The sequence below is a fragment of the Homo sapiens genome, chromosome 1 (genome assembly GCF_000001405.40).
Source record: "Homo sapiens chromosome 1, GRCh38.p14 Primary Assembly".
In the NCBI taxonomy this organism is placed as follows: Eukaryota; Metazoa; Chordata; class Mammalia; order Primates; family Hominidae; genus Homo; species Homo sapiens.
The window spans coordinates 88613635-88641016 of record NC_000001.11 but is presented as its reverse complement, the minus strand read 5'-3'; the positions used below and the strand labels follow the sequence as shown (position 1 = coordinate 88641016).

The window sequence follows — 27382 nt, the reverse complement described above, 5'->3', positions numbered from 1 at the left end:
ATAGTTCATAACAAGGTCTAGCAATAAAGATACATAAAATATTACTATTGGATACTCCTAATCAACTACTTATAAAATGCAAGAGTTTGGGTGACTGTGCATGTGCTACTTTTGAATATTTTTGGCAAACTAATGAGTATAATGAGATTGGCTGATTGCTTCTAATGTTACTAGACAAATTGGCTAAAGAAAAGGATGAGGTCAGACATTTGAATTACCAGCTCAAGTACTGCATAAATGACCTGAAAACTTCCATGTGTGCCCCAAAGGAGAGCCTTATCTCCTGTATTGTCAGGGCTGAGATTATTGAAAATCAAACCCAGAACCTCATCCTGTGACTGGCTGAATTACAAGACAATTTGAACTCCCAGCCTTGTAGAGTGTCTGTTGTTAAAGTCAGAGCATTGATTGGAAAGGGAGAGTGATATGATATGGATCTGTTTCACCATCCTAATTTCAGGTAGAATTATAATCTTCAATGCTGGAGGTGGCGCCTGGTAGGAGGTGATTGGATCATGGGGGCGGTTTCTCATGGTTCATGGTTTAACACCATCTCCGTCTTGGTTCTGTTATCACAATAGTGAGTTCTTGTGCAATCTGGTTGTTTAAAAGTATGTGGCACCTCCCCCTCTAGTGGGACTCTTTGTATTTTGGAGGCAACATATTTCTCATTCAGGTGTTATTCCAGCCCATTTACTGGGTGAGCTGGAAAGCTGCAAGTTTTGAGTGGGGCCCAGAACAAGACGAGATTCTGCAATAGGTCCAGGCTATTTTGCAAGTTTCTCTGGCACTTGTGCCATATGATCCAGCAGATCCAATGTGTTTGAAGTGTTGGTGGAAGATAGGGATGTTGTTTGAAGTCTTTGGAAGACCATTATAGATAAATTGCAGCTCAGTACTTTAGGATTTTGGAACAAGGCCCTGCCATCATTCTCAGATAACTACTTTTCTTTTGAGAAATCACTTTTGGTCTGCTATCTGGCCTTAGTAGAGATTAAATGCTTAACTACAGGCCAAGTTATCGAACTACCATGTGATCTGAGCTGTCCATCAAAAACTGGTTGTTATCTCACCCACCAAGCCATAAAGTAAGGCACGCACAGCAACATTTCATTATTAAATGGAACTGGTATATATTGATTAGGCCTGAGCAGGCCCTAAAGGCACAAGTAAGTTACCTGAGAGTGGCCTAAATGCCCACGGTTCCTACTCCTGTCACACTCCTTTCTCTCTTTCAGCCTGCACCTATGACCTTGCAGGGAGTAGTACCCTATTATTAACTGACAGAAGAAGAAAATAATTAGGCCTTGTTTATATATGGTTCTGCATAATATGCAGGCACTACCTGGAAGTGGACAGCTGCAGCACTACAACCCTTCCCTGAGATATCCGTGATGGATAGTGAAGGGAAATCCTCCCACTGGGAAGAACATCAAGCAGTGCACCAAATGAACTTCCAAATTCACTTAGAAGAAGTGGCCCGATGTGTGATTATATGCTGATTTATAGGCTGTGGTCAATGGTTTGGCTGGATGATCAGGGAGATGTGAGGAACATGATTGGAAAATTGGTGGCAAGAAAATTTTAGGGAAGAGTTTGTAGATAGTCATCTCAACATTGTGCAAACAACATGAAGATATTTGTGTCTTATGTGAATGCTCACCAAAGGGTGACCTAGGCAAAAGAGGATTTTAATAACCAAATGGACACAATGACCCATTTTGTGGATACCAGTAAGTCTTTTTCCCTAGCCACCCCTGCTGTTGTCCAATGGACTCATGGATAAATTGACTATGGTGGCAAGGATGGAGGGTATGCATGGGCTCAGCAACATGAATTTCAGCTCACCAAGGGTGACCTGGTTGTGGCCACTGCTGAATGTCCAATCTGCTAGCAGCATACATGAACACTGAATACTTGATATGGCAACAATTCCTGGAGTGATCAGTTAGCTACCTGGTGGCAGGTTAATGACATTGGACCACTTCCAGCATAAAAGAGCAGCATTTTGTTCTTATTGGAATAGACTCTGACTGGATACAGATTTGCCTTCTCTGCATGCAATGCTTCTGTCAAATTACTATCTGTGGATTCACAAAATGCCTTATCTGTTGTCATGGTATTTCATACTGCATTGTTTTTAATCAAGGAATTCACTTCACAACAAATGAAGTATTGCAATGGTCCTATGCTCATGCAGTTCACTGATCTTACCATGTTTTCCACCATCCTAAAGCATTTAGCTTGACAGAACAATGGAATGGTCTTTTGGACACTCAGAGAACCAGCTAATGGCAGTACCTTGCAGAACTGAGACAAGTTTCTTTACAAGGCTGTATAGGAGGATGTATATTCTCTGAATCAATACCCAATATATAGTGCTCTTTTTCCCTTAGCCAAGATTTGTGGGTCCCAGAAGCAAAGGGTGGAAATGGGAATAAGATCACATACTATTATCCCTAATGACACACTAGCAACATTTTGCCTCCTGTTTCTATGACCTTAGGCTCTGTTGGCCTAGGGGTTCTAGTTCCAAAGAGAGGCATGCTCCCAGAAGAGGCACAACAATGATCCAATTGACCTGGAAGTTAAGAATGTCACCTGGCCACACTGACACTTCTCATGCCTCTGAATCAACAGGCAAAGAAGGCAGTTACTGTGCTGGCCAGGGTGATTGATCCTAACTAACCAAGGGAGAACTTTGACTACTACTCCCCAAAAGAGGTAAGGAAGACTATGTGTGGAACACAGGAGATCCCTTAGGGAATATTGTAGTATTACCATGCCCTATGATTAAGGTCAATGAAAAACTATAACAACCTAATTTAACTGAACTACTAATGGCCCAGACCCTTCAGGAATGAAAGTTTGGGTTCTTTAACACTAGCAAAAGAGGATTCTGATAATCAAATGGATAGAATGACCCATTCTGTGGATACTAGTCAGTCTCTTTCCCCAGATAACCCTGCCATTGTCCAGTGGATTCATGGATAAATTCACCATGGTGGCAGGGATGGAGCGTATGCATGGGCCCAGCAACATGCACTTCAACTCACCAAGGCTGATCTGGTTATGGCAACTGCTGAATGTCCAATCTGCTAGCAGTGTAACACTGAGTTCCTTACCACCAGGTAAACAACCATGACCAGCGAAGATTTTTTCTAAAGGCAGACAGTAGCAGAAAAAGGTAGTTAAAAATACCTATGACCAGCCGGGTGCGGTGGCTCACGCCTGTAATCCCAGCACTTTGGGAGGCCAACGTGGGTGGATCACGAGGTCAGGAAATCAAGACCATCCTGGCTAACACGGTGAAACCCCATCTCTACTGAAAATACAAAAAATTAGCCGGGCGTGGCGGCGTGCTCCTGTAGTCCCAGCTACTGGGGAGACTGAGACAGGAGAATGGCATGGACCCGGGAGGCAGAGCTTGCAGTGAGCCGAGACGCATCACTGCACTCCAGCCTGGGTGACAGAGTGAGACTCCGTCTCAAAAAAAAAAAAAGAACAAAAAACCTATGACCATGTAATTAGTTACAGAAAGGAAGACTGTAATTGTCATAAGCATTTCCTGTTTATTTTGTTATATGACAAGGTATTAAGAGAAAAAGAAAAAGTATATGTTTAATACATATTTATACATACACACATATTTATAACTAGGATGTATTGGCTTTATTTAATAGTACCTAAATATTGTTAATATTTCATCATAGTATTTAAGTTATGAGATGTCAAAGAGAAGAATAAACATTACTCAAATTATTCAAGGGCTTTAACTCCACTCCTGGGGAAGGGTCAGTGAGGTTTTAGTTATATATAGGATAGTTTTATCATGTTAGGTGGAGCTATGCCTTTTAAATTATCTTTATTTGGCAATTAAGTATGGTTTAAGGAAATGTGCATGGATGTCAAGTTGACAAGAAAGTGGACTTGTGAGGGTTAATTTTATGTGTCAACTTGACTGGGCCATGGGATGGCCAGATATCTAGTGTATTAGTCCATTTTCACACTGCTGATAAAGACTACCCGAGACTGGGCAATTTACAAAAGAAAGAGGAGGTTTATTGGACTTACAGTTCTAGATATCTGGGGAGGCCTCACAATCATGGTGGAAAGTGAAAGGCACATCTCACATGGTGGCAGACAAGAGAAGAGAACTTGTGCAGGAAAACTCCAATTTTAAAAACCATCAGATCTCATGAGACCCATGCACTATATAAGAACAGCACGGAAAGACCTGCTCCCATGATTCAACCATCTCCCACCAGGTCCCTCCCACAACACGTGGGAATTATGAGAGCCACAAGATGAGATTTGGGTGGGGACACAGAGCCAAACCACATCATCTGGTTAAGTATTATTTCTAGGTGTGCCTGTGCATGTGTTTCCAGAGTATTTAGCATTTAAACTGGTGGACTGAGTAAAGCAGCTGGCCCTCCCCAATAGAAGTGGGCATCATCCAATCCATTGAGGGCTTATAAAAGGTAGAGCAAGGGAGAATTCTCTCTCTCTGACTGCTTGAGCTGGGACATCAGTGTTCCCCTGCCCTCAAAGTGGAACTTACCCTGTAAGTGCTTATGGTTCTCAGGCTTCAGACTTGAATTGGAACTACATTGTTGTCTTTTTTTTGAAACACCAGCTTGCAGAAAGCAGACGTTGGGACTTTATAGCCTCCATAATCACATGACACATAATCACATGACCTCCATCATTACATAAATACTTACAATCTCTCACGCTCTTTTTCTACACACACACACACACACACACACACACACACACACACACACACGGGCTTCTCTGGAGAACCCTGACTAACATACTTCTCTTCCTTTATATTTACCCTTGAGTTTGGTGACACTGGGGGTGTTTTGGGGATCTGGCTAAGAGGAAGTTGAACTGGCAAATAATTTAGTTGGATATATTTATGTAGTTTGTGGTCATTACAGTGTATAGCGAACTATCTCAGTCGGGGAGTGGCTTCCAGCATTATTAATGTGCCTACTTTAACAGTCTACCTGGCAATGTAACAGAAGATGCAGGGGTAGAGGTGTATAACTATGAAAATGTCCTTTGGTACCTAGCACTGAAAGTATGGAGTTGGTGGATGGAAAACAATGTCAAAGATTCACCCCATGTGGTAACCCCTGTCACTTATAGGGAATGCACATATAAGTGGCATGTAGGGTACTGTAGCATTTGTTCCTTGAAATCAATAAAGAAATGCTAGGGTAACAAGTGAGAAGTGTGTAGCATGGCATAAAGGAAGATAGAATAAGATTATGTCTGCACTAAGTCAATTGTTGCAGCAGTACCCCAAACAATAGACAGGCATGGCATAGATAGGTAAAACTGAGATACATGCTGAAGTGGTATATAAGTGGTTCCTCCAAGGACATAGGACCAGCCCACCTGGTGCCGATTGCCACTAGTGACCTTGCCTTCCCAGTCGTGGAGCCACCATGCACCATACATGCTCCCCTATGACTGAGGACCAGCTGGCACAGCACCTGCTGCCACTGGTGACCCTGCCCCCACAAGTGCCCAAGCCATCATGTACATGTGTACTCGCTGGTGACTAGGGATTGATACACCTTAGTCACTGCTGCCACTGCCATCATTGCCCCTGCAACTGGCAGAGCCACTGTATCCAGCATGTGCCACCCTAGGGCCTGATAACTGGCCCTCTCAGCAGCCCTGCCCCAAGCAAAGCCACACCACTACCTCCACAAACACCCAGAATCTAGGCCACTAAAGCACTTGTAGGCATTCCTGCTGTTGATTACAGCTGAAGCAATCACATGGAGACTATACTACCACAACCATCCAGAACCAAAGCCAAAACACCTGAGTCTATACAACCGACATTACTGGACACATCTACAGGAAAAAATCTTTTCCTATGAAAGCTGCTCCATAAAATTGGAAGAGGTGACTGTTCCTCCAGATGAACATATTAACATTGGGACATATAATATATGAAAACATAAGAAAACATGACACCTCCAAAGGAACACACTAATTCTCTAGTAATTTCATAGATTTCAAGAAAATGAAAACTATGAAATGCCTGCAAAATAATTTAAAATAATGATCCTAAGGAAACTGAAAGAGAATACAGATAGACAATCCAACAAAATCAGGAAGATAATTCATGATCAGAATGAGAAGTCCAACAAAGAAGTAGAGATCATAAAAAAGAATCAAACAAATCATGGAGCTAAAGAATTCAATGAATGAAATAACAAATACAACCACGAGCTTCATCATAGACTAGATCAAACAGAAGAAAAATTCTCTGAATTTGAGGAAAGCTCTTTTGAAATAAACCAGTCAGACAAAAAGAAAAAAAAGAAGTAAAAACAATGAAGAAGAAAGCCTTGGTACTTACTGGACACCAATAAGCAAACAGATGTTCACATCATGGCAGTTCCAGAAGGGAGGAAATGGTAAGAAGCATAGAAAAACATATTTAATGAAATAATAGCTAAAAACTTCCCGAGTATTGTCAGATATATAGACATCCAGATCTGCAAAGCTCAAAATGTACCAAATAGATTCAACCCCATAAAGGTCCTTGCCAAGGCACAGAATACTCAAACTGTCAAAAGTCAAACACAAAGTGAAGACAAAAGTGTCAAGTCATATATAAGGAAATTTCCGTTAGACTAACAGCAGTTTTCTTAGAATAAAACTAATAGGCTACGTGCGAATGGGATAACATATTCAAAGTGCTGAAAGAAAAAAGAATGCCAGCAAAGCTATTCTTCAAAAATGAAGGAGAAATAATGTTCTTAGACAAGCAAAAACTACAACAGCCTTACAATAAATACTTAAGGGAGTCCTACATTTAGAAGGAAAAGGATAATAACTACCATCATTAAAACACACAAAAATGTAAACTCACTAGTAGAGCAGGTACACAAATGAGAAAAAGAAAGGTATCAAACCTTATCACTATAGAAAACCACCAAGCCACAAAGATAAACAATAAGAGAGGAAGAAAGGAATGAAAGATCTACAAAACAACCCCCAAATAACCAAATGACAGGAGTAAGTCCTTACTTATCAATAATAACCTTGAGTGAAAATAGATTAAATCCCCCAATTAAAAGATATAGCATGGCTGAACAGATTTAAAAAATGACTTAACTATTTACTGCCTACAAGAAATTCACTTCACCTGTAAAGACACACATATAAAGCAAAGGGATGAGGTGGGCAAATCGTTTGGGCCCAGGAGTTTGAGACCAGCCTGGGCAACACTACAAAACCCTATCTCTACAAAAAAATAAAAAAATTAGCTGGGTGTGGTGGTGCACACCTGTAGTCCCAGCTGCTTGGGAGGCTGAGGTGAAAGGATTGCCTGAGCTTGGGGAGGTAGAGGCTGCAGTGAGCTGTGATTGCACCACTGCCCTCCAGCCTGGGCCACAGAGCAAGACCCTATCTCAAAAAAGAAAGAAAGAAAAAATAATAAGAGAAAGAAAGGAAGAAAGAAGGGAAAGAAAGAAAAGAAGAAAGGGAAAGAAAGAAAAAAAGGAAGGAACAAAGAGAGAAAGAAAAAGAAAGAAAGAAAGAAAAGAAAAAGACTGAAGGGATGGCAAAAGATATTTTACACAAATGGAAACCAAACTAAGCAGGAGCAGCTGTACTTAGATAAGATAGACTTTAAGTTGAAACTGTAAAAAGAGATGAAGATCATTAAATAATGATAAAAAGATCAAATTTGCAAGAGGACATAACAATTGTAAATATACATGCACTCAACACAAGAGGACCCAGACTATAAACCAAATATTATTTTAGTTAAAGGAGGAGATAGACTGTAGTACAATAATAGTTGGAAACTTCAACACCCCGTTCTCAGTGTTGGGTAGATCATCTAGACAGAAAATCAATGGAGAAATATTGGATTTAAACTGTACTGTAAATCAAATGGACCTAACAAGCAGTTACAGAACAACATTTTATCCAACAGCTGCACATTCTTTTTTTTTTTTTTTAGACAGGATTTCACTCTGTCACTCACCCAGGCTGGAGTGTAGTGATGCAATAACAGCTCACTGCAACCTTGACCTCCTGGGCTCAAGCTATCCTCCTGCCTCAGCCTCCTGAGTAGGTAGGGTTACAGGTGTAGACCACCATGCCTAGCTGATTAAAGAATTCTGTAGAGATTAGAGATGGGGTCTCCTCATGTTACCCAGGCTGGTCTCAAACTCCTGGGCACAAGCAAGCCTCTCATTTCAGCTTCCCAAAGTGTTGGGATCACAGACACGAGCCACTGCAGCTGACCAGAATACACATTCTTCACAACAGCACATGGAATATTCTTCAACATAGATCATATGGTAGGCCATGAAACAAGTCTCAACAAATTTTTAAAAATTGAGGTCATATCAAGTATATTTACTGAGCATAATACAATAAAACTAGAAATCAACAAGAACATAGGAAACTATAAATACATGGAAATTAAACAACATGCCCTGAACAACCAATGGGCAAATGAAAAAATTAAGATGGAAGTGAAAACATTTTTGGAAACAAATGAAAACAGAAACACAGCATACCAAATCTATGGACATATGGAAAGCAGTACTAAGAGGAAAAATTAAAACATGGTTACATTAAAACAGAATGATTTCACACAAACCACCTAATGATTCACCTCAAGGAATTAGAAAAGCAAAACAAACTATGAGATGAGCCTTGACCAGTGAGATTCCAGAGTAGGAAAGCATAAGGTAAACTCTCAATTCATCTCCTCTCCACGCACTACTCTGAGGTGAAATTTCTTCTCACAGTCCCTCAAAAAGGCCTGCAAATACACGTGATGAGCAACCTGTTCTGTTTCTTCATGGCTCATTGTGAAGTGGCAATCAGTGCTTCAACACAGCTTTGCATCTCATCTTGTCCAATTTTCCCCTTTTCCTCACCCTCACTTCCCTGGGCTTGAATCTCACAGAAAAAGAACAGTGTTTAGTCCTACTTCAGGCTCCTAGAGATCCTGTGCTAAGATAATTATTATAAAAAACTTTCCCTCAATGCTACATCTCTCCTTCTACTCTCCTTATATCTCACCTCCTTTGAAACTTTCAAAAAGAGGTATCTTTATCCTTATCTCCCTATCTTTGCTTTCTTATCTGCCATTCATTCCTCAGTCTTGCTTCTCCTACTATTTCTCTGAAACTGCTTTCACTAAGATCAATAATGATTTTCTTGCTCTTAAATCCAAAGGATAATTTTCAGCCTCTGTCTTACCTAGTTTGTCTGTAGCACTTGACACTGACCTCGCCTCCTTCTTCAAATATTGTCTTGCCCTGACTTCCAGACAATGTACTCTTGGTTTTTATCTTGCCATTTTAGCTGCTCCATTTCAGTCACCTTTGCATATCTTGTAAGTATTGATATTTACCAGAATTCTGTTCTCAGTCCCCTTCTCTCCCCTCCCCTCCCCTCCCCTTTCCTTGCTGTCCCTCTCTTTCCCTCCCTAATATCTGTATAAATTATCCCTGGACAATCTTGTTCATTCGCATACATAGCCTCAAGTGCTGATAACTTTCAAAACTATATTTTAGATCTAACTTTCCCTCTTGATTATCAAATTCTGAAAAGAATTTGATAATTCTTTTGGATATTTATTCTTGGAGTCCTATTGGCTCCTGAAACTGAACACGTTCAACAACGAAACTCAGCATCCTCTTCCCACCTGAATCTGTTCCTGTTGCTGCCTTCCCTGTCTCATAGACTGATTACTTCATTCCTAAGCCAGAAACTGGGTCCCAGTTTTCTCAGGACTTTTCTGGTTTTAGCATGTGGAACCCCTCCGTTCCATGCAAACTGTCATGGTTTGTTCAGAGCTGTCTCCACTTTTAAACTGGAACTGCCACATTGTAGAATCCCCTCAGTTCTGAAAATAAGAGGAAGATTGGTCAGTCTGTTTTCCACATCCAATCAATTACTAAGGCTCATTTGTTATAACTTTTAAATATGTCTAGTTTGTCTATTTCTCTCCATCTCTATTGCTGTTTTACCAGTTCCGGCTATTAACATTTCTTACCTGGATTGCTGCAAACTTTCCTTTTGCCTCTAACATTGCTTCCTCCAACCCATTCTCTGGATTGCTGCCAGAATATTCTTTTATTTTTTTAATTTTTATTTTATTTATTTGTTTTTGAGATGGAGTTTTGCTCTTGTCACCCAGGCTGGAGTGCAATGGCTGCAATCTTGGCTCACTGCAACTTCTGCCTCCCAGGTTCAATAGATTCTCCTGCCTCAGCCTCCCGAGTGGCTGGGATTGTAGGCATGCACCACCAAGCCCAGATAATCTTTTTATTATTAGTAGAGAAAGGGTTTCACCATGTTGGCCAGGCTGGTCTTGAACTCCTGACCTCAGATGATCCACCCGCCTTGGCTCCCCAAAGGCATGAGCCACTGCGCCTGGCCAGAATATTACTTTAAAATTATAAACCTGATGATGTTTTTCCCCTCCTTAAATCTTTTTAACTGTTTCCTATTTGCCCTAGGACAAGGTGCGCAATTTTTAAGATTGCTCTCATAGCCCCTCATAAAATTGTCCTGCTCATTCCTCCAGACTCATCCCTTCTCACTTTCCTCATACACGGTATGTAAGCTCAGATGCCAGCTGTTCCCTATCCATTATTTTTAAAAATATTACACCCTCGTAGACATAGAACTCTTGCATATCATCATATTATCTTTCCCAAACCCACATTTATAAAAGTCTTAGTGAGAAACAAGGAATTTATGGGGAGATGAGGGAGATATTTTATTATACTTGGTATAGTAATAACCATTTGAGATTTTTTTCCCCAAAATTTTTTCTTAGCTGTGGCACTCCAAGGACTGTTTTGGTCTTTATCTTCCTCCCAAGGCATATAGCCTTTTTGGATCCAGCCCGTACCCTCACTCCAAGTTCTTTACATTCATTTCTTTATTGTACTGAGCAATTTGGCTTTATCTAACTCCATCAAAGGGCTCACCAAAACAAAGTGTTCTTCTATTTGCATATTCCATTCTTGTTTAGTTACCATCATTTTTAGCTTGACTATGTCCCTTAAGATCTTGTCTCTCATCCCATGTAGCTTATTAAAATATTTCCTTAAAATATGGTGTTATATTCTTAGAGGAATTCTTGTACTAGTTGCCAAAAGAGTAAAAGTTTCTTCATTTTGTTACATGTGTTTTAGCCATATTGGTTTTCCTGCAGGTCTCATAGTATTCCTTGTTCTCTCCTACTATGTCTTTGTATAAGCCGCTAAATTTGTTTGGGATACTTTAAAGTGAACCAGTTTTAGATGTAGTTCATAGGCTTGACTTGGATTAAAAAAATCTCTAATTATATCATGAGTCATTTCAGCATTTTTAATCATCATGGCATGATAAATTTCACTGCATCAATCTCTAGGGGATTAGGACAAAAACGAATTTCAGTTTTTAAAAATGATTTTCAAGACCTCCAATAAAGTATGTAAAGGACATTAAACGGGCCTAAGAAATTATACAGCTTTCAGTTTGATCCTAAATTCAAGAACTAGTCCAATTAATCAAAATTGCAATCATAGTTCCCTTGAAAACAACAATATGCAAAACACATGGCCATTGTGCACAGTACATACAATCATATTAGTTTGCAGGTGGGTCATATTCAATTAACTTTTTTTTAACATAGTTGAGTGTATCTTTATTCTTACTAATGCAAACGTTTGAAGATTTTAAGCTAGCAGTAGATTAATTTCTTGTTTTGTATTAAGAGTCACACTGCTTGGGTTTCTTGGTGGCCTTTCTCAGTACTTGAGCCCTTGATCTTCAACCACAGAGGTGGAGTAGTACCTATAAAATACAGGACAACAAGGCAGCTAAAACATTTATCATTGAGATGAACTTATTCATCATCTGATTTGAGTGATTAAGAAGACTTTGCCTGAAAACATTGCCAATATCAGCTTGAGAGTAGTGTAGATGAACAGAAAGAGTACAGAGTTAGTTTTCAGTAACAGATTTCCCCTCCAGTTAGGTTTTCTTATGTCACTTTAAACTCTCTGCATTTTCTAATCTTTTAACAGTCTTTATACTCATATTTTAAAAGTGAGATCTTCTCTTGTTTCTTTATTTACTCAGAAAGGTATTATAAAATAATGGATGTGAAATACTTTGAAAAACTAAAAATGCCTTGCAATCATGGGTGGGTCTGTCAGCTTTCAGATTTGTAAAGGACAACATGAAGAGACTAACCATACCTGTCTATTAATCCTTCCTACTATCCAACTATCCATCTATGTTTCTCTCCCTCCCTTCTTTCAACAAGTGTTTATTGAGCACTTCATATCTGCACACAGCAGATATGTCCTTACGGAACTTATACTCTTGTGTAAGTAAATAGTAAATAGAAAATTTAAATCCAGATTGGTAATGGCTGTAACTGGGAAGAATAGGGAACTGTGGAATGGTTGGATTGGGTGGCGTGGTGGTTAGAGAAGACTTTCCACAAAAAGTGGTATCTAGACTGACAGCTGATCCTTTCATTGCCATGGGAAATTGTAGGAAATATTTCAGGTCTTATGGGATATATGGGTAATAGGAAGGCAACAAGAGGTGCTAGAATATTCAAAGTAAATGGAACATTGCGTCCAAAGGCCCTGAGGCAAGAGTTAGTGTAGTTCAACAAATATCTCAAGGTAGATGCTCTGCTAGGTCAGAAATCTTCACTCAAATTGCTTATGGACAATGTAGTAGCTAGTTTCATAGAATATCTGATGTGTGAAATGTGTAAGGTTTATCCATTTGCAGCTCTGGCCTCAAGTCTTAGCATTGAATAGCATTGAATCAATCCTTCCTTCCTTCCTTCTTTCCTTCCTTCCTTTTTCTTCTTCTTTTTTTTTTTTTTGCAAGCAATCATTTGTGTAGTGGATTGCTAATACTTCAGAGTTGTTGATGTTTGAGGCATTACACTTTGAACTGAAATATGGCAATTATCAGAATATGCAATACCATAATTCGCATTTCTTTTCATTTTAAAGAGGAGGAAATTAGGGCACAGAGAGGTTAGATATCTTTTCCTAGGTCACACAGCTATGAAACTGCATGTAGGTTAGATCTGGGGTAACATGGTCTTCACACATTAAAATCTGGAGTATCGGCCAGGCATGGTGGCTCACAGCTGTAATCCCAGCACTTTGGGAGGCTGAGGTGTGCAGATCACAAGCTCAGGAGTTCGAGACCAGCCTGGCCAATATGGTGAAACCCCGTCTGTACTAAAAATACAAAAATTAGCTGGGCGTGATGGTGGGCACCTGTAGTCCCAGCTCCTCAGGAGGCTGAGGCAGGAGAATTGCTTGAACCCGAGAGGCAGAGGTTGCAGTGAGCCGAGATTGCACCACTGCACTCCAGCCTGGGCGACAGAGCGAGACTCTGTCTCAAAAAAATATATACTATAACACAAGATCAATAAAATATAAGATCAAGAACAACCACAGAGGCTGAATATTACTTATAAAATACAGGACAAAAATAGCGAAAACTCATAATTATCATTGAGACAAATGTATTTGGCATCTGATTTGAATGATAAAGAAGACCTCTAGCCTGAAAACATTGCCAACATCATCTGCCATAGCTCCTTTCTGACATTCTATCAGAGTAATATTGCTTTGAGTCTCGAAAGCATGTGTTGTCTCTGAGAATTCCTTTGAAGCTGATATCTAGTTCAGCACAAACTAGAGTCTGGGGCAATGCTTAGGAAAGATAGGAACATGAAACCCAGGAATAAGAAACAGGCAAGTGAAGTGGAAGTTTAAGAAACATTAATACAAATTTCTGTGTATCTAGAACTGATAGTTTATGATGGATTCCTAAGAAAACTGAGCAATTGAATATAATCATAATAATTGCTAGACATCTCTGGCCTTCACTAAACTAATTGCTGAGAAAAACAACATGAAGGAAAAGTAGAATCCCCCTCCAGCTTGATTATTTGAATATCGGATAAGTTAGGTATGGTGATGAGAAGCTGGAATATCGTGTGAGAGCAGTAATGCTACTTCTAAAGTCTAAGGGATATATATTATACTAAGAAATATGAACGGTTCAAATCTCTTCACATCCACTTCCCCTAGCACATGTATATCAGACAATGGCAGAACTTCTGTTCTCATTGTTTTCTTGCCACAGGAACCTTGCAGATGATGTCCTAATCCTTGAGAGAAATAAAAAGGTCCTAAAAGTGAAACTTCTCCTGTCAGTTCCTTCTCCTGTCAGATTTTTTTTTTCAAACCGTAAAACTCTCTGTACCTGTTAGGATTCTTTCAGTTGCAAGTGACAGAATACCTAACAAAAATTTGTGTAACTACGAGGTCAGGAGATTGCGACCAGCCTGACCAACATGGTGAAAACCCGTTTCTACTAAAAATACAAAAATTAGCCAGGTGTGGTGGTGCGCACCTGTAATCCCAGCTTCTCGGGAGACTGAGGTGGGAGAATCGCTTGAACCCGGGAGGCAGAGGTTGCAGTGAGACAAGATCGCGCCACTGCACTCCAGCCTGGGAGACAGAAGGAGACTTCATCTCAAAAAAAAAAAAAAATTTGTGTAAGTAAAACATTTATTGGCTCATGTATTTGAAAGAGCCAGAGGTAGGGCTTATCATAGATGCAGTTTGATCTGGGGGATCAAATGATGGGTTTCTCATCATCTTTCAACTCTTTCTTCCTTTGTGATGCCAACTTTATCACTGGGCTGCTTCCCTAATGAGACAAGATGGCTGCAGCGTTTCCAAGTCCCACATCTTCATCTGAAAGATCCAGTGGAACAGTGAAAGTCTTTCTCAGACTCAATTACCATGGCCAAGGAGTTGAGGTTTTGCTTAAGTCAATCACGGTCCACTGTGGGGGTGGATATCGGAGTCATTCCCATCCAAACAACATGGCAGGGAAGAAGGCTGGGAGGATTTCCGTAAAGGAAGTTCTGCTACTAGATACACGGGGAAATGGAGGCTAAATAGTAAAGAAGGGATTTCTGTCCCCCGTGATTTTCAAATCTGTTCTTTTTTGGCAGTCCACCTGAAAGGACTCTCAGTCAAGTTTAGCTTCTCTGTTGGTTAGGATATAGCTTCAGGTGCATAAAATAGAGACTCAAAATACGAGTAGATTAGACAAGATAGAAGTTTATTTCACTCTCATTTAAAGCCTGAGATGATAGGGTGACTCTGCACTGTGAAGTTATGAGGCACCAGCCTGCTGTTTTGCTCTGTCATCTCCAGGATGTTGCTTCTCTCTCTGTGGCCCAATATGGATCACTCCTATGTCCCAATTCCAACCTGACAGAAGGGAAAAAGAAGGGGATGGATGTGTCTTTCCCTTTTAAGTCAGGACTTCTGACCATCAGACTATTGTTATTTTGGACCAGACAATTCTTTGTTGTGGGGAGATGTCCTGTGCATTATAGGATGTTTAGAAGCATCCCTGGCCTCTACTCGATAGGTGCCAGGAATGTCACCTCCCTGTCCCCAGTTGTGACAATGAAAAATGACTCCAGACATTGCCTAGTGTCCCCTGGCAGGCATATTTTACTTCTGCTTGTATTCTTTAGCTAGATCTGAGTCACATGGCATACATAGCTGCAAAGGAGACTGGGAAATGCAGTCCTTTTATTTTTATTTTTAAATGTTTAAATTTTTATTTTAGGTTTGGGGTACATGTGTAGGTTTGTTATATAGGCAAACTCAATGTCACTGGAGTTTGTTTTACAAATTATTTCATTATTGAGGTACTAAGCCTGGTGCTCAATAGGTATTTTTTTCTGACCCTCTCCCTCCTCCCACCCTTGAGCCTCAAGTAGGCCCTAGTGTCTGTTGTTATCCTCTTTGTGTTCATGAGTTCTTATCATTTAGCTTCCACTTATAAGTGAGAACGTGTGTTATTTGGTTTTCTGTTCCTGTGTTAGTTTGCTAAGGATAATGACCTCTGGCTCCATCTATATCCCCACAAAAGACATAATCTCATTCTTTCTTATGGCTGCATAGTATTCCATGGTATGTATGTACCACATATTCTTTTTTCAATCTGTCATTGATGGGCATTTAGGTTGATTTCTATGTCTTTGCTATTGTGAAGTTGCAATGAACATATGCATACATGTGTGTTTACGGTAGAATGATTTGTATTCTTTGGGTATATACCCAATAGTGGGATTGCTGGGTCTCAGGGTAGTTCTGTTTTTAGCTCTTTGAGGAATTCCCACACTGCTTTCCACAATGGTAGAACTGATTTACACTCCCACCAACAGTGTGTAAGTGTTCCCTTTTCTCTGCAACCTCCCTAGCATCTGTTATTTTTTACTTTTTAATAGCCATTCTGACTGGTATGAGATGGTATCTCACCAATCAAAACTGGTGGTTTTGATTTACATTTCTCTAATGATCAGTGATATTGAGCTTCTTTTCATGTTTGTTGGCCACATATATGTCTTTTTTCGTTTTTTAAGATAGAGTTTTACTCTGTCACTTAGGCTGCAGTGCAGTGGCATGACCTCGGCTCACTGCAATCTCCACCTCCCAGACTTAGGCGATTCTCCTGCCTTCACCTCCCAAGTAGCTGGGACTACAGGCATGTGCCACCACGCCCGGCTAATTTTTGTATTTTTAGTAGAGATGTGGTTTCACCATGTTGGCCAGGCTGGTCTGGAACTCCTGACCTCAAATTATCCGCCCACCTGGGCCTCCCAAATTGCTGGGATTACAGGCGTGAGTCACTGTGCCCTGCCTATGTCTTCTTTTGGAAAGTGTTCACACCCTTTGCCCACTTTTTAATGGAATTTTTTTTTCTTGTAATTTGTTTAAGTTCCTTACAGATGCTCGATATTAGGCTTTTGCAAATATTTTCTCTCATTCTGTAAGATGTCTATTTACTCTGTTGATAGTTCATTTGCTGCACAGAAGCTCTTAAGTTTAGTTAGATCCCATTTGTCAATTTTTGCTTTTGTTGTGATTAACTTTGGTGTCTTCATCATGAAATCTTGCCATTCCTATGTCCAGAATGGTATTGCCTAGGTTGTCTTCCACGGTTTTTACAGTTTTGGGTTTTATATTTAAGTCTTTAATCCATCTTGAGTTGATTTTTGTATATGGTGCAAGGGATCCAGTTTCAATCTTCCAAATATGGGTAGCCAGTTATCCCAACACCATTTATTGAATAGGGAGCACTTTTCCCATTGCTTGTTTTAGTCAACTTTGAAGAAGATCAGATGGTTGTAGGTTTGCAGCATTATTTCTGAGCTCTCTATTCTGTTCCGTTGGTCTATGTGCCTGTTTTTGTACCAGAACCATGCTGTTTTTGTTACCGTAGCCCTGTAGTATAATTTGAGATTGGGTAATGTGATGTCTTCACTTTTATTCTTTTTGCTTAGGATTGCCTTGGCTATTTGTGCTCTTTTGTTATTCCATGTAAATTTTAAAATAGTTTTTTTTTTTTTTTTTTTTTTTTTTTTTTAGTTCTGTGAACAATGTCATTGGTAGTTTGATAGGAATAGCACTGAATCTGTAAATTGCTTTGGGTAGTATGGCCATTTTAATGATATCAATTCTTTCTATTCATGAACATGGAATGTTTTTCCGTTTGTTTGTGTCATCTCTGACTTCTTTGAGCAGTGTTTTGTAATTCTCATTGTAGAAATTTTTCAACTTCCTGGTTTCTGGTTAGCTGTATTCATAGGTATTTTATTCTCTTGTGGCAATTGTGAATGGGATTGTGTTCCTGATTTGGCTCTCAGCTTGGCTGTTCTTGGTGTATAGGAATGCTAGTGATTTTTATATGTGGATTTTGTATCCTGATACTTTGCTGGAGTTTATCAGCTGAAGGAACTTTTGGGCTGAGACTATGGAGTTTTCTAGATATAGAGTCATGTCATCTGTAAACAGGGATAATTTGACTTCCTCTCTTCCTATATGGATTCCTTTTATTTCTTTCTGGTTCCTGATCACTGTGGCCAGGACTTCCAATGCTATGTTGAATAGGAGTGGTGAGAGAGGGCATCCTTGTCTTGTGCCAGTTTTTAAGGGGAATGCTTCCAGCATTTCCCCATTTAGTATGATGTTGGCTGTGGGTATGCTATATATGGCTTTTACTCTTTTGAGGTATGTTCCTTCAGTACCTTTTCAAATTATTTATTGAGGTGGGTTTTTTTTTTTCTCACTCTGTCATCCTGGCTGGAGTGCAGTGGTGTGATCTTGGCTCACTGCAACATCTGCCTCCCAGGTTCAAGTGATTCTTGTGCCTCAGCCTCCCGAGTAACTGGGATTATGAGCTTGTGCCACCATACCCAGCTAATTTTTGTATTCTAGTAGAGATGGGGGTTCACCCTGTTGGCCAGGCTGGTCTTAAACTCCTGACCTCAAGTGATCACCCCTCTTTGGCCTCCCAAAATGCTGGGATCACAGGCGTGAGCCTCTCTGCCTGGCCTATTGAGAGTTTTTAACATGAAGGAATGCTGAATTTTATTGAAAGCCTTTTCTGCCTTTATTGAGATAATCATGTGGTTTTTGTCTTTAGTTCTATTTATGTGATGTGTTACATTTACTGATTTGACTATGTTGAACCAAACTTGCATATTAGGGATGAAGCCTACTTGATCATGGTAGATTAGCTTTTTGATGTGCTGCTGAATTCAGTTTGCAAGTATTTTGTTGAAAATTTTTGTGTCAATCTTCATCAAGGATATTGGCTTGAAGTTCCCTTTTTTCGTTTTGTCTCTGCCAGGTTCTGGTATCAGAATGATGCTGGTGTCATAGAATGAGTTGGGGAGGGCCCCCTCCTCCTCAGTTTTTTGGAATAATTTCAGTAGAAATGGTACCAGCTTTTCTTTTACATCTGTTAGAATTTGGCTGTGAATCCATCTGGTCCTCGACTTTCTTAGGTTGGTAGGCTATTTATTACTGATTCAGTTTTGGAGCTCATTACTGGTCTGTTCAGGGGATCAATATCTTCCTGGTTCAGTCTTGAGAGGGGTATGTGTCCAGGAGTTTATCTATGTCTTCTAGATTTTCTAGTTTGTGTGCATAGAGGTGTTCATAGTAGTTTCTGATGGTTATTTTTATTTCTGTGGGGTCAGTGGTAATATCCCCTTTGTTGTTTCTAGTTGTGTTTATTTGTATCTTCTCTCTTTTGTTCTTTATTAGTCTACCTAGCAGACTATGTATTTTATTTGTTTTAAAAAAACCAACTCCTGGGTTTATTAATATTTGAATGGTTTTTCAGGTCTCAATTTCCTTCAGGTCAGCCTGATTTTGGTTATTTCTTGTCTTCGGCTAGCATTGGGGTTGGTTTGCTCTTGCTTCTCTAGTTCTTTCAGTTGTGATATTAGGTTGTTAATTTGAGATCTTTGTAACTTTCTGATGTGGGCGTTTGGTGCTATAAATTTACCTCTTAACACTAACTGCCTTAGCTGTGTCCCAGAGATTCTGGTATGTTGTATCTTTGTTCTCATTATTTTCAAAGATCTTCTTGATTTCTATCTTAATTTCATTATTTATGCAAAAATTATTCAGGAGCAGGTTGTTTAATTTTCCTTAATTGCATGGTTTAGAATGTTCTTTGTTAGTCTGGACTTCTATCTTTATTGTCCTGTGGTCCGAGAGTGTGTTTGGTATGGTTTCAGTTCTTTTGTGTTACCTGATGATTGTTTTATGTTTTATTGTGTGGTCAGTTTTAGAGTAAGTGCTATGTGGCAATGATAAAAATGTATACTCTGTTGTTTTGGGGTGGAGAGTTCTGTAGATATCTATCAGATCCATTTGGCCCAGTGCTGAGTTCAGGTTGTGAATATGGATGCTTCCGTGTTGGGTGCATATATATTTAGGATAGGTAGGTCTTCTTGTTGAATTGAACCCTTTACCATTATGTAATACCCTTCTTTGTCTTTTTTGATCTATGCTGGTTTTTGTCTGAGATTAGGAATGCAATTCCTGCTTTTTTCTGATTTCCATTTGCTTAGTAGATTTTCCTCTATCCCTTTATTTCCAGTGTCATTGCATGTGAGGTGAGTCTCTTGAAAACAGCCTACCATTGGGTCTTGCTTTTTTTTTTTTTTTTTTTTTTTTAAATCCAGCTTTCCACTCTGCCTTTTAAACGGCAGTACTTGGCCCATTTACATTCAAGGTTAATATTGATATGTATGACTTTGATCCTGTCATTGTGTTGTTAGTTGGTTATTATGCTGACTTGTTTTTGTGGTTGCTTTACAGTACTGGTCCATTTACTTAAGTGTGTTTTTGTATTGGCTGGTAATGGTCTTTCCTTTCCATATTTAGTGCTCCTTTCAAGATTTCTGGTAAGGAGGGTCTGGTGGCAATGAATTTCATCAACATTTGGTTACCTGAAAAGGATCTCACTTCTTTGCTTAGGAAAGTTAGTTTGGCTGGATACAAAATTCTTGGTGGAAGATTTTTTTTTCCTTCAAGAATGTTGAATATAGGCCCCCAATCTCTTCTGGCTTATAGAGTTTCTGCTAAAAGGGCTGCTGTTAGCCTGGTGGGGTTCCCTTTGTAGATGACTTGCCCTTTCTCTCTACCTGCCTTTAATATTCTTTCTTTCATTTTGGCCTTGGAAAATGGGATGATTACGTGTCTTGGGGATGATCTTCTTGTGTAGAATCTTGCAGGAGTTCTCTGTATTTGACCGTTGGCCTCTCTAGCAAAGTAGGGGAAGTTTTCATGAGCAATATCTTAAAATATGCTTTCCAAGTTGTTTGTTTTCTCCTCATCCCTTTCAGGGATGCCAGTAATTCATAGATTTGGCCTCTTTACATAATCCTATATTTCTTGGAGGTTTTGTTCATTCCTTTTTATTATTTTTTCTTATTGTCTGACTGTCTTATTTCAGAGAGTCAGTCTTCCGGTTCTGAGATTCCTCAGCTTGGTCTATTCTGCTGATAATACTTGTGATTACATTGTGAAATTCTTGTGGTGTGTTTTCCCAGCTCTATTAGATCAGTTAGGTACTTTTGTATACTGGCTATTTAGCTCCTGTATCCTTTTATTATGATTCTTAGTTTCCTTGGATTGGGTTCTGCCATTCTCCTGAAGCTCGATGGTCTTTATTTCTATCCATGTTCTGAATTCTATTTCTATCATTTCAGCCAGCTTAGCCTGGTTAAGAACCTTATATGATTTGGCTCTATGTCTCCACCCAAATGTCATCTTGAAATGCAATCTCCACATGTTGTGGGGGGGACCTGTTGGAAGTGATTGGATTATGGCGGTGGTTTCCCCCACATGCTGTTCTCATGATAGTGTGTGAGTTCTCATGAGATCTGATGCTTTAAAAGTTTTTGGCAGCCCCCCTCCCTCACTCTCTCTCTCTCTCCTGCTGCCTTGCAAGAAGGTACTTACTTCTCCTCCTTCTGCCATGATTGTAAGTTTCCTGAGGCCTCCCAGCCATGTGGAACTTTGAGTCAGTTAAACCTTTTTTTTTTTTTTTTTTTTTTAATAAACCACCCAGTGTTGGGTAGTTATTTATAGCAGGGTGGAAACAGACAAATACAGAAAATTGGTACTGGGAGTGGGGCACTGCTATAAATATGGAAGCAACTTTGAACTTAGTAATGGGCAGAGGTTGGAACAGTTTGGAGGGTTCAGAAGAAGGTAGGAAGATGTGGGAAAGTTTGGAATTTCCTAGAGACTTGTTGAATGGTTTTGACCAAAATGCTCATAGTGATATTAACAATGAAGTCTAGGCTGAGGTGGTCTCAGATGGGAAAGAGGAACTTACTGGGAACTGGAGTAAAGGTCACCCTTGCTATTCTTTAGCAAAGGACTGGCAACATTTTGCTCTAGCCCTAGAGATCTGTGGAACTTTGAACTTAAGAGAGATGATTTAGGGTATCTGGCAGAATAAGTTTCTAAGCAGCAAAGCATTCAAGGTGTCATCTGGCTTTTTCTGAAAGTGTTCAGTCATATGTGTTCACAAAGAGATGGTCTGAAATTGGAACTTATGTCAAAAAGGGAAGCAGAACATAAAAGTTTGGAAAATTTTCAGCCTGACCATGTGGTAGAAAAGAAAAATCCATTTTCTGGGGAGAAATTCAAGCCAGCTGCAGAAATTTGAATAAGTAACCAGGAGCCAATGTTAATAGCCAAGACAATGGGAAAAATGTCTCCAGGGTATTTCAGAGATCTTCACAGCAGACCCTCTCATCACAGGCCTGGAGGCCTGGGAAGGAAAAATAGTTTTTTTGCACCAGGACCAAGACCCTACTGCTCTGTGCAACCTTGGGACATGGTGTCATGTGTCCCAGCAGTTCCAGCTCCAGCTGTGGATAAAAGGGCCCAAGGTACAGCTCAGGCTGTTGCTTCAGAGGGTGCAAGACCCAAGCCTTTGTGGCTTCCAGGTGGTGTTGGGCCTGTGAGTGCGCAGAAGATAAGAGTTTAGGGTTGGGAACCTCTAGCTATATTTCAGGGGATGTATGGAAGTGCCTTGATGTCCTGGCAGAAGTCTGCTGCAGGGGTGGAGCCCTCATGGAGAACCTCTATTAGGGCAATGCGAGGGAAAATGTGGGGTTGGAGTCCCCACACAGAGTCCCCACTGGGGCACTGCCTAGTGGAGCTATGAAAAGAGGGTCACTGCCCTTCAGACCCCAGAATCATAGATCAACTGACAGCTTGCACTATGCACCTGGAAAAGCTGCAGGCTTTCAATGCCAGCTTGTGAAAGCAGTTGTGGGGCTGTACACTGCAGAACCACAGGGACTGAGCTGCCTATGGCCCTGGGAGCCCACTCCTTGCATCAGTGTGCCCTGGGTGTGAGACATGGAGTCAAAGGATATCATTTCAGAACTTTAATATTTAATGACTGCTCTGCTGGGTTTCAGATATGCATGGGGCCTGTGGCCCTTTTGGCCAATTTCTCTCATTTGGAATGGGAACATTGACCGAATGCCTGTATCCCCATTTTATCTTGGAAGTAACTAAGTTGTTTTTGATTTTACAAGCTCATCCGTGAAAGTGACTTGCCTTGTCTTAGATGAAACTTTGGACTTGGACTTTTGAGTTAATGCTGGAATGAGTTAAGACTTTAGGGGACTGTTGGGAAGGTATGATTGGTTTTGAAAAGTGAAAAGAACATGAGATTTGGGAGAGGGTAAGTGTGGAATAATATGGTTTGGCTCTGTGTCCCCACCCAAATCTCATCTTGAATTGTAATCCCCACATGTTGAGGGAGGGAACTGGTGGAAGATGACTGGATCATGGGGGTGGTTTCTCCCATGTTTTTCTCATGATAGTGAGTGAATTCTCAGGAGACCTGATGCTTTAAAAGTGTTTGGCTGTTATTAGGGATCTTGGATTGTCTGTAATTTGTTGAATCTGATCTATTCTTTTTCTTCAGGAGCTTTGGGCAGACTGAGGGTTGACTATATTGCAATGTCTGATTCACTCTGTAAGAGCTCATCTTAAGAAATGCTTTTTTTTTAAAAGAATTATTGAATTTTTTTATTGTGGTCAAATACATACAACGTGAAATTTACCATTTTAACCATTTTTAAGTGTACAGTTCTTTGGTATAAAGTACATTCACATTGTTGTGCAACTATCCACATCATCCATCTTCAGGACCTTTTCATCTTCCCTAACTGAAGCTCTGTACCCATTAAACGTGACTGCCCATCTCCCCTCTCCTCAGCCCCTGGCAATCACCATTCTACTTTATGTCTCTATGAATTTGACTACTATAGGTACCTCATATAAGTGGAATCATATGGCATTTGTCCTTTTGTGACTGGCTTATTTCACTTAAAAAATGTCTTCAAAGTACATCCAGGATGCAGCATGTATCAGAATTTCCTTCTTTTTAAAGGATGAATAATATTCTATTCTATGTATATACTAATGGATTTGTATATTCCTTCATCTGCCAATGGACTGAAATGCTTTTCTCTGCCTTTCAGGTGAAACCTTATATTGAATACTAAAATTTACATGTCCTCAAATCTTGCACTAGTAAATATAAACACTTTAAAGCAAGGCATTTAGCTCTGTGGCATTAGTGAGATAAGCCATAAAATATGCAATTGTTGTTTAATAAGAAAATGTCATTTTGCAATAAATCAATCATTGCCACTTTTTATTAGCAGTAGAAGCCCTAAAATAGAATTATAAAATTATTGTTTTATGAAAAAGTCAGTTTAAGAATTTTAGCATGGTATATTTGAAATTTTCTGTAAAAGTAGATTTTAAATATTTTCATTGCAAAAAATAAGTATGTGAGGTGAGACTTGTTAATTAGCTTGATTTAATCACTCCACAATATAACCATAAATCAGAATATAACAGTGTATATTATGAATCTATACAATTATTATTTTCAGTTAAAAATAAAAGAAAAAAGAAAAATCAACAAAAAAGAATTGTAGCAGCTTTAATGCCATTAAGAATATTTAAAAATGGCCGGGCGTGGTGGCTCATGCCTATAATCCCAGCACTTTGGGAGACCAAGGCGGGAAAATCACAAGGTCAGGAATTCAAGGCCAGCCTGGCCAACATGGTGAAACCCCATCTCTACTAAAAATACAAAAATTAGCCAGGCGTGGTGGCGCGTGCCTGTAATCCCAGCTGCTCGGGAGGCTGAGGCAGAAGAATTGCTTGAACCTGGGAGGTGGAGGTTGCAGTGAGCCGAGATCACACCACTGCACTCCAGCCTGGGTGACAGAGGGAGACTCCGTCTCAAAAAAAAAAAAAGAATATTTTAAAATAATGAGAAGTCTTTCTCTTATGTGGCTGCTACTATCAATATAGTAGCTATCAGCCAAAGGTGAGTTTTAAAATTTAAATTCATCAAGATTAAATGAAATTAAAAATTTACTTTCTTGGTTACATTAGCCACATTTCCAATGCTCTATTGCCGTTGCTAGTGCCTACTGTATTGGACAACACAGATATAGAATATTTCTATCATCACTGAAAATTTGATTCCACAGTGCTGATTGTGTTAGCTGGGATTTTATCCCCCCGAGTCAGTAGGGACCATTTCAACTTCATAAAACTCATTGTTGCCTAACAGAGTGTGTTATTCTGAGTGCTCCTTGGGTTTGCCAGCCAGCACTCTGTAGGTGAGAAACAGGATACTGTAGAGCATATGAACAGGATCAATACAGTCTTGTTGCTTATTAGCACCTCACCCACATAGGTGCACAGAACCCAGTATGCATACAGGAATGATGAAAGGTGAAACTCCAGTAAGGTTGAAGGAGATAGGAAATGAAAGATTAAGCTCATCCCAAGTTAATAGCATTATAAGTTTTTATGGTTTATGAAATTTAGTTTGCAGCTTTTCAAACCCCAGGTAGTAAAAATACACATAGATGAAAACCCTCAAACAATAAAGAACACATTTGGACCTAATGACTTTTAACTCTTATGATGGGATACTTGAAAATCTAGTATAAAGAGACTCCTTTGGGATATAGCAAATGGGACTTGATGATGACACAGGCAGATTCCTTTAGACTCTCTCTCTTCTTTAGAGAGGTGATTTTCAACTTATCTTTGCAATTGAGATACCCTGGTGGTAACAGTTTATTATAATTATTTTATTCTATTTATATACCTTCCCCCACTCTTAAAGTATAGCAAACAAATTTCACTTACAGAGTTTTGATATACCTTTGACTCATTGGGACAGGGGCCTTTTTTAGCTGCATGCTCTATCCCCAGAATCTTGCACAGTCCTTGCACATAACTGGTGCTTAATAAATGTTGAATGAATGAATGACTATGAGCACTCCAGAGTTCTAGAAGGCTGGAATTGCAAATCACTCCTTTAGGACAATTGATTTTTCCTTAACAGAGATTATTCCAAACTTGTTCATCAATAGGTCTGCAGTATCTTTAGTTGACAAGAAAGTAGCATAGGATAGTGGCTAATCTGATGGACATAAATACAAGATGTCTTCGGTTGAAGTTTCAACTTAGCTGGGTGAACTTGACCATATTCAACTTTTTAATCTGTTTCCACATTTGGAACACAATAATAACTATCTAGGATTTTTGTGAGGATCAAATAAGTTAAAATACTCAAACTGTTTAGTAAAATGCTCAACACATATCTGGCTCTCAGTATATGTTAACTTTCAAAAAGAGGACACTTTAAGCATTTAGCTTAACCTAAAAGAGAAGAAGAGAGTGAGAGTGCTGGTAGTGTGAGAATTTCAAAGAAAGAGATAGCTTGTGGTATGGTCCAGAGTTCAGACTGAAGGAGATGAAGGGGTGGTACAACTTTGTTGCAGAATGGGCAGCTGGAAATATCACTGCTGCAAAGGAACTATCATGTCCTGAATATCTGCTGGGTACTTGAATGGTCAAACATGCTCCAGTCTCTAGGCCTTTGCCTCTTTTTCTCTTTGCTTAAATAGCCTTTCTCCAGATATCTATGTTGTCCATCTCCCTGTTCATTCAGGACTCTGTTCAAATGATACTCCTTCCCGGCAAGCCTATCACAAAAGGAACCTTCTGCTCATAAAGTAAAATGTCTCAGAGAATCCTAAACTCATTATGCTAAACGGAAAGTTAAATTAACCCTGGAGACTTTTAATTTTTCTTTACATCCTCTCTAATTCCCTATCTTTAACAGTAATGATAATTACATACTTTATTTTTCTTCTTAGCACTTTCACTATTGATATTACGTGTCTTTATCACCTACTATATTATAGGTGCATGAGTGCAGAGTGTCTTCTGTTCACTGTGACTAGAAGAGTGCTTGTTCATGGTAGGCATGCAATGAATTTTTTTTTGTCAAATCACATACACTTTTATCATTTGAACCTCACAAGCACTCTGCATGGTAAATGGGTATAGCCTCAGGTTGTGGGGGAACACATGGTGTTAGAGAGTTTAAACCACTTGCCAAAGATAACATAGCCAATGAGTCTTAGAACCAATATTTATGATTTATTTTAATAATCTTCTCACTATATCTCATAGTTTATGACATTTTATTTATTTTGAGACAGGGTCTTGCTCTGTTGCCCAGGCTGGAGTGCAGTGGTGTGATCATAGCTCACTGCTGCTTGAGAATTTTGGGTTCAAGCAATCCTCCCACCTCAACCTATAAATTAGTTTATATATATATTTTTAATTTTTCAAAAGCAGTTGGGACTTCCAGATTTAATGGCAGTACATGTTATGTAAAATAAGGCAAATAGGAATTAAAAAAGGACAGAGATCCTATACATAAAATTTAAAAAACAGATGCTCTGTGGCATCTGAGATAAATACAATATTGCCACAATTCTTTTTTTCTGGGCCCATGGTAGATGGTAGAAATGTGCAGGTTCCCATTGACCTTGGCCCTCAATCTCTTATTCCAAGAATTTGAGTCT

General features: G+C 39.5%; 2 long non-coding RNA genes across 2 annotated transcripts in view; one reads left to right on the top strand and one right to left on the bottom strand.

Moving 5' to 3' along the window:
• The window catches only part of PKN2-AS1 (PKN2 antisense RNA 1), a 147692-nt gene that overhangs the window by 44188 nt on the left and 76122 nt on the right, over nucleotides 1-27382 (top strand). The gene's annotated exons all lie outside the window — the stretch shown is intronic.
• Nucleotides 9843-25730, bottom strand: LOC105378838 (uncharacterized). Its single transcript, XR_947572.4, has 3 exons — nucleotides 25650-25730; nucleotides 11715-11853; nucleotides 9843-9910 (listed from the first exon to the last, which is right to left on the bottom strand). It is a non-coding gene; the product is annotated as an uncharacterized LOC105378838 (long non-coding RNA).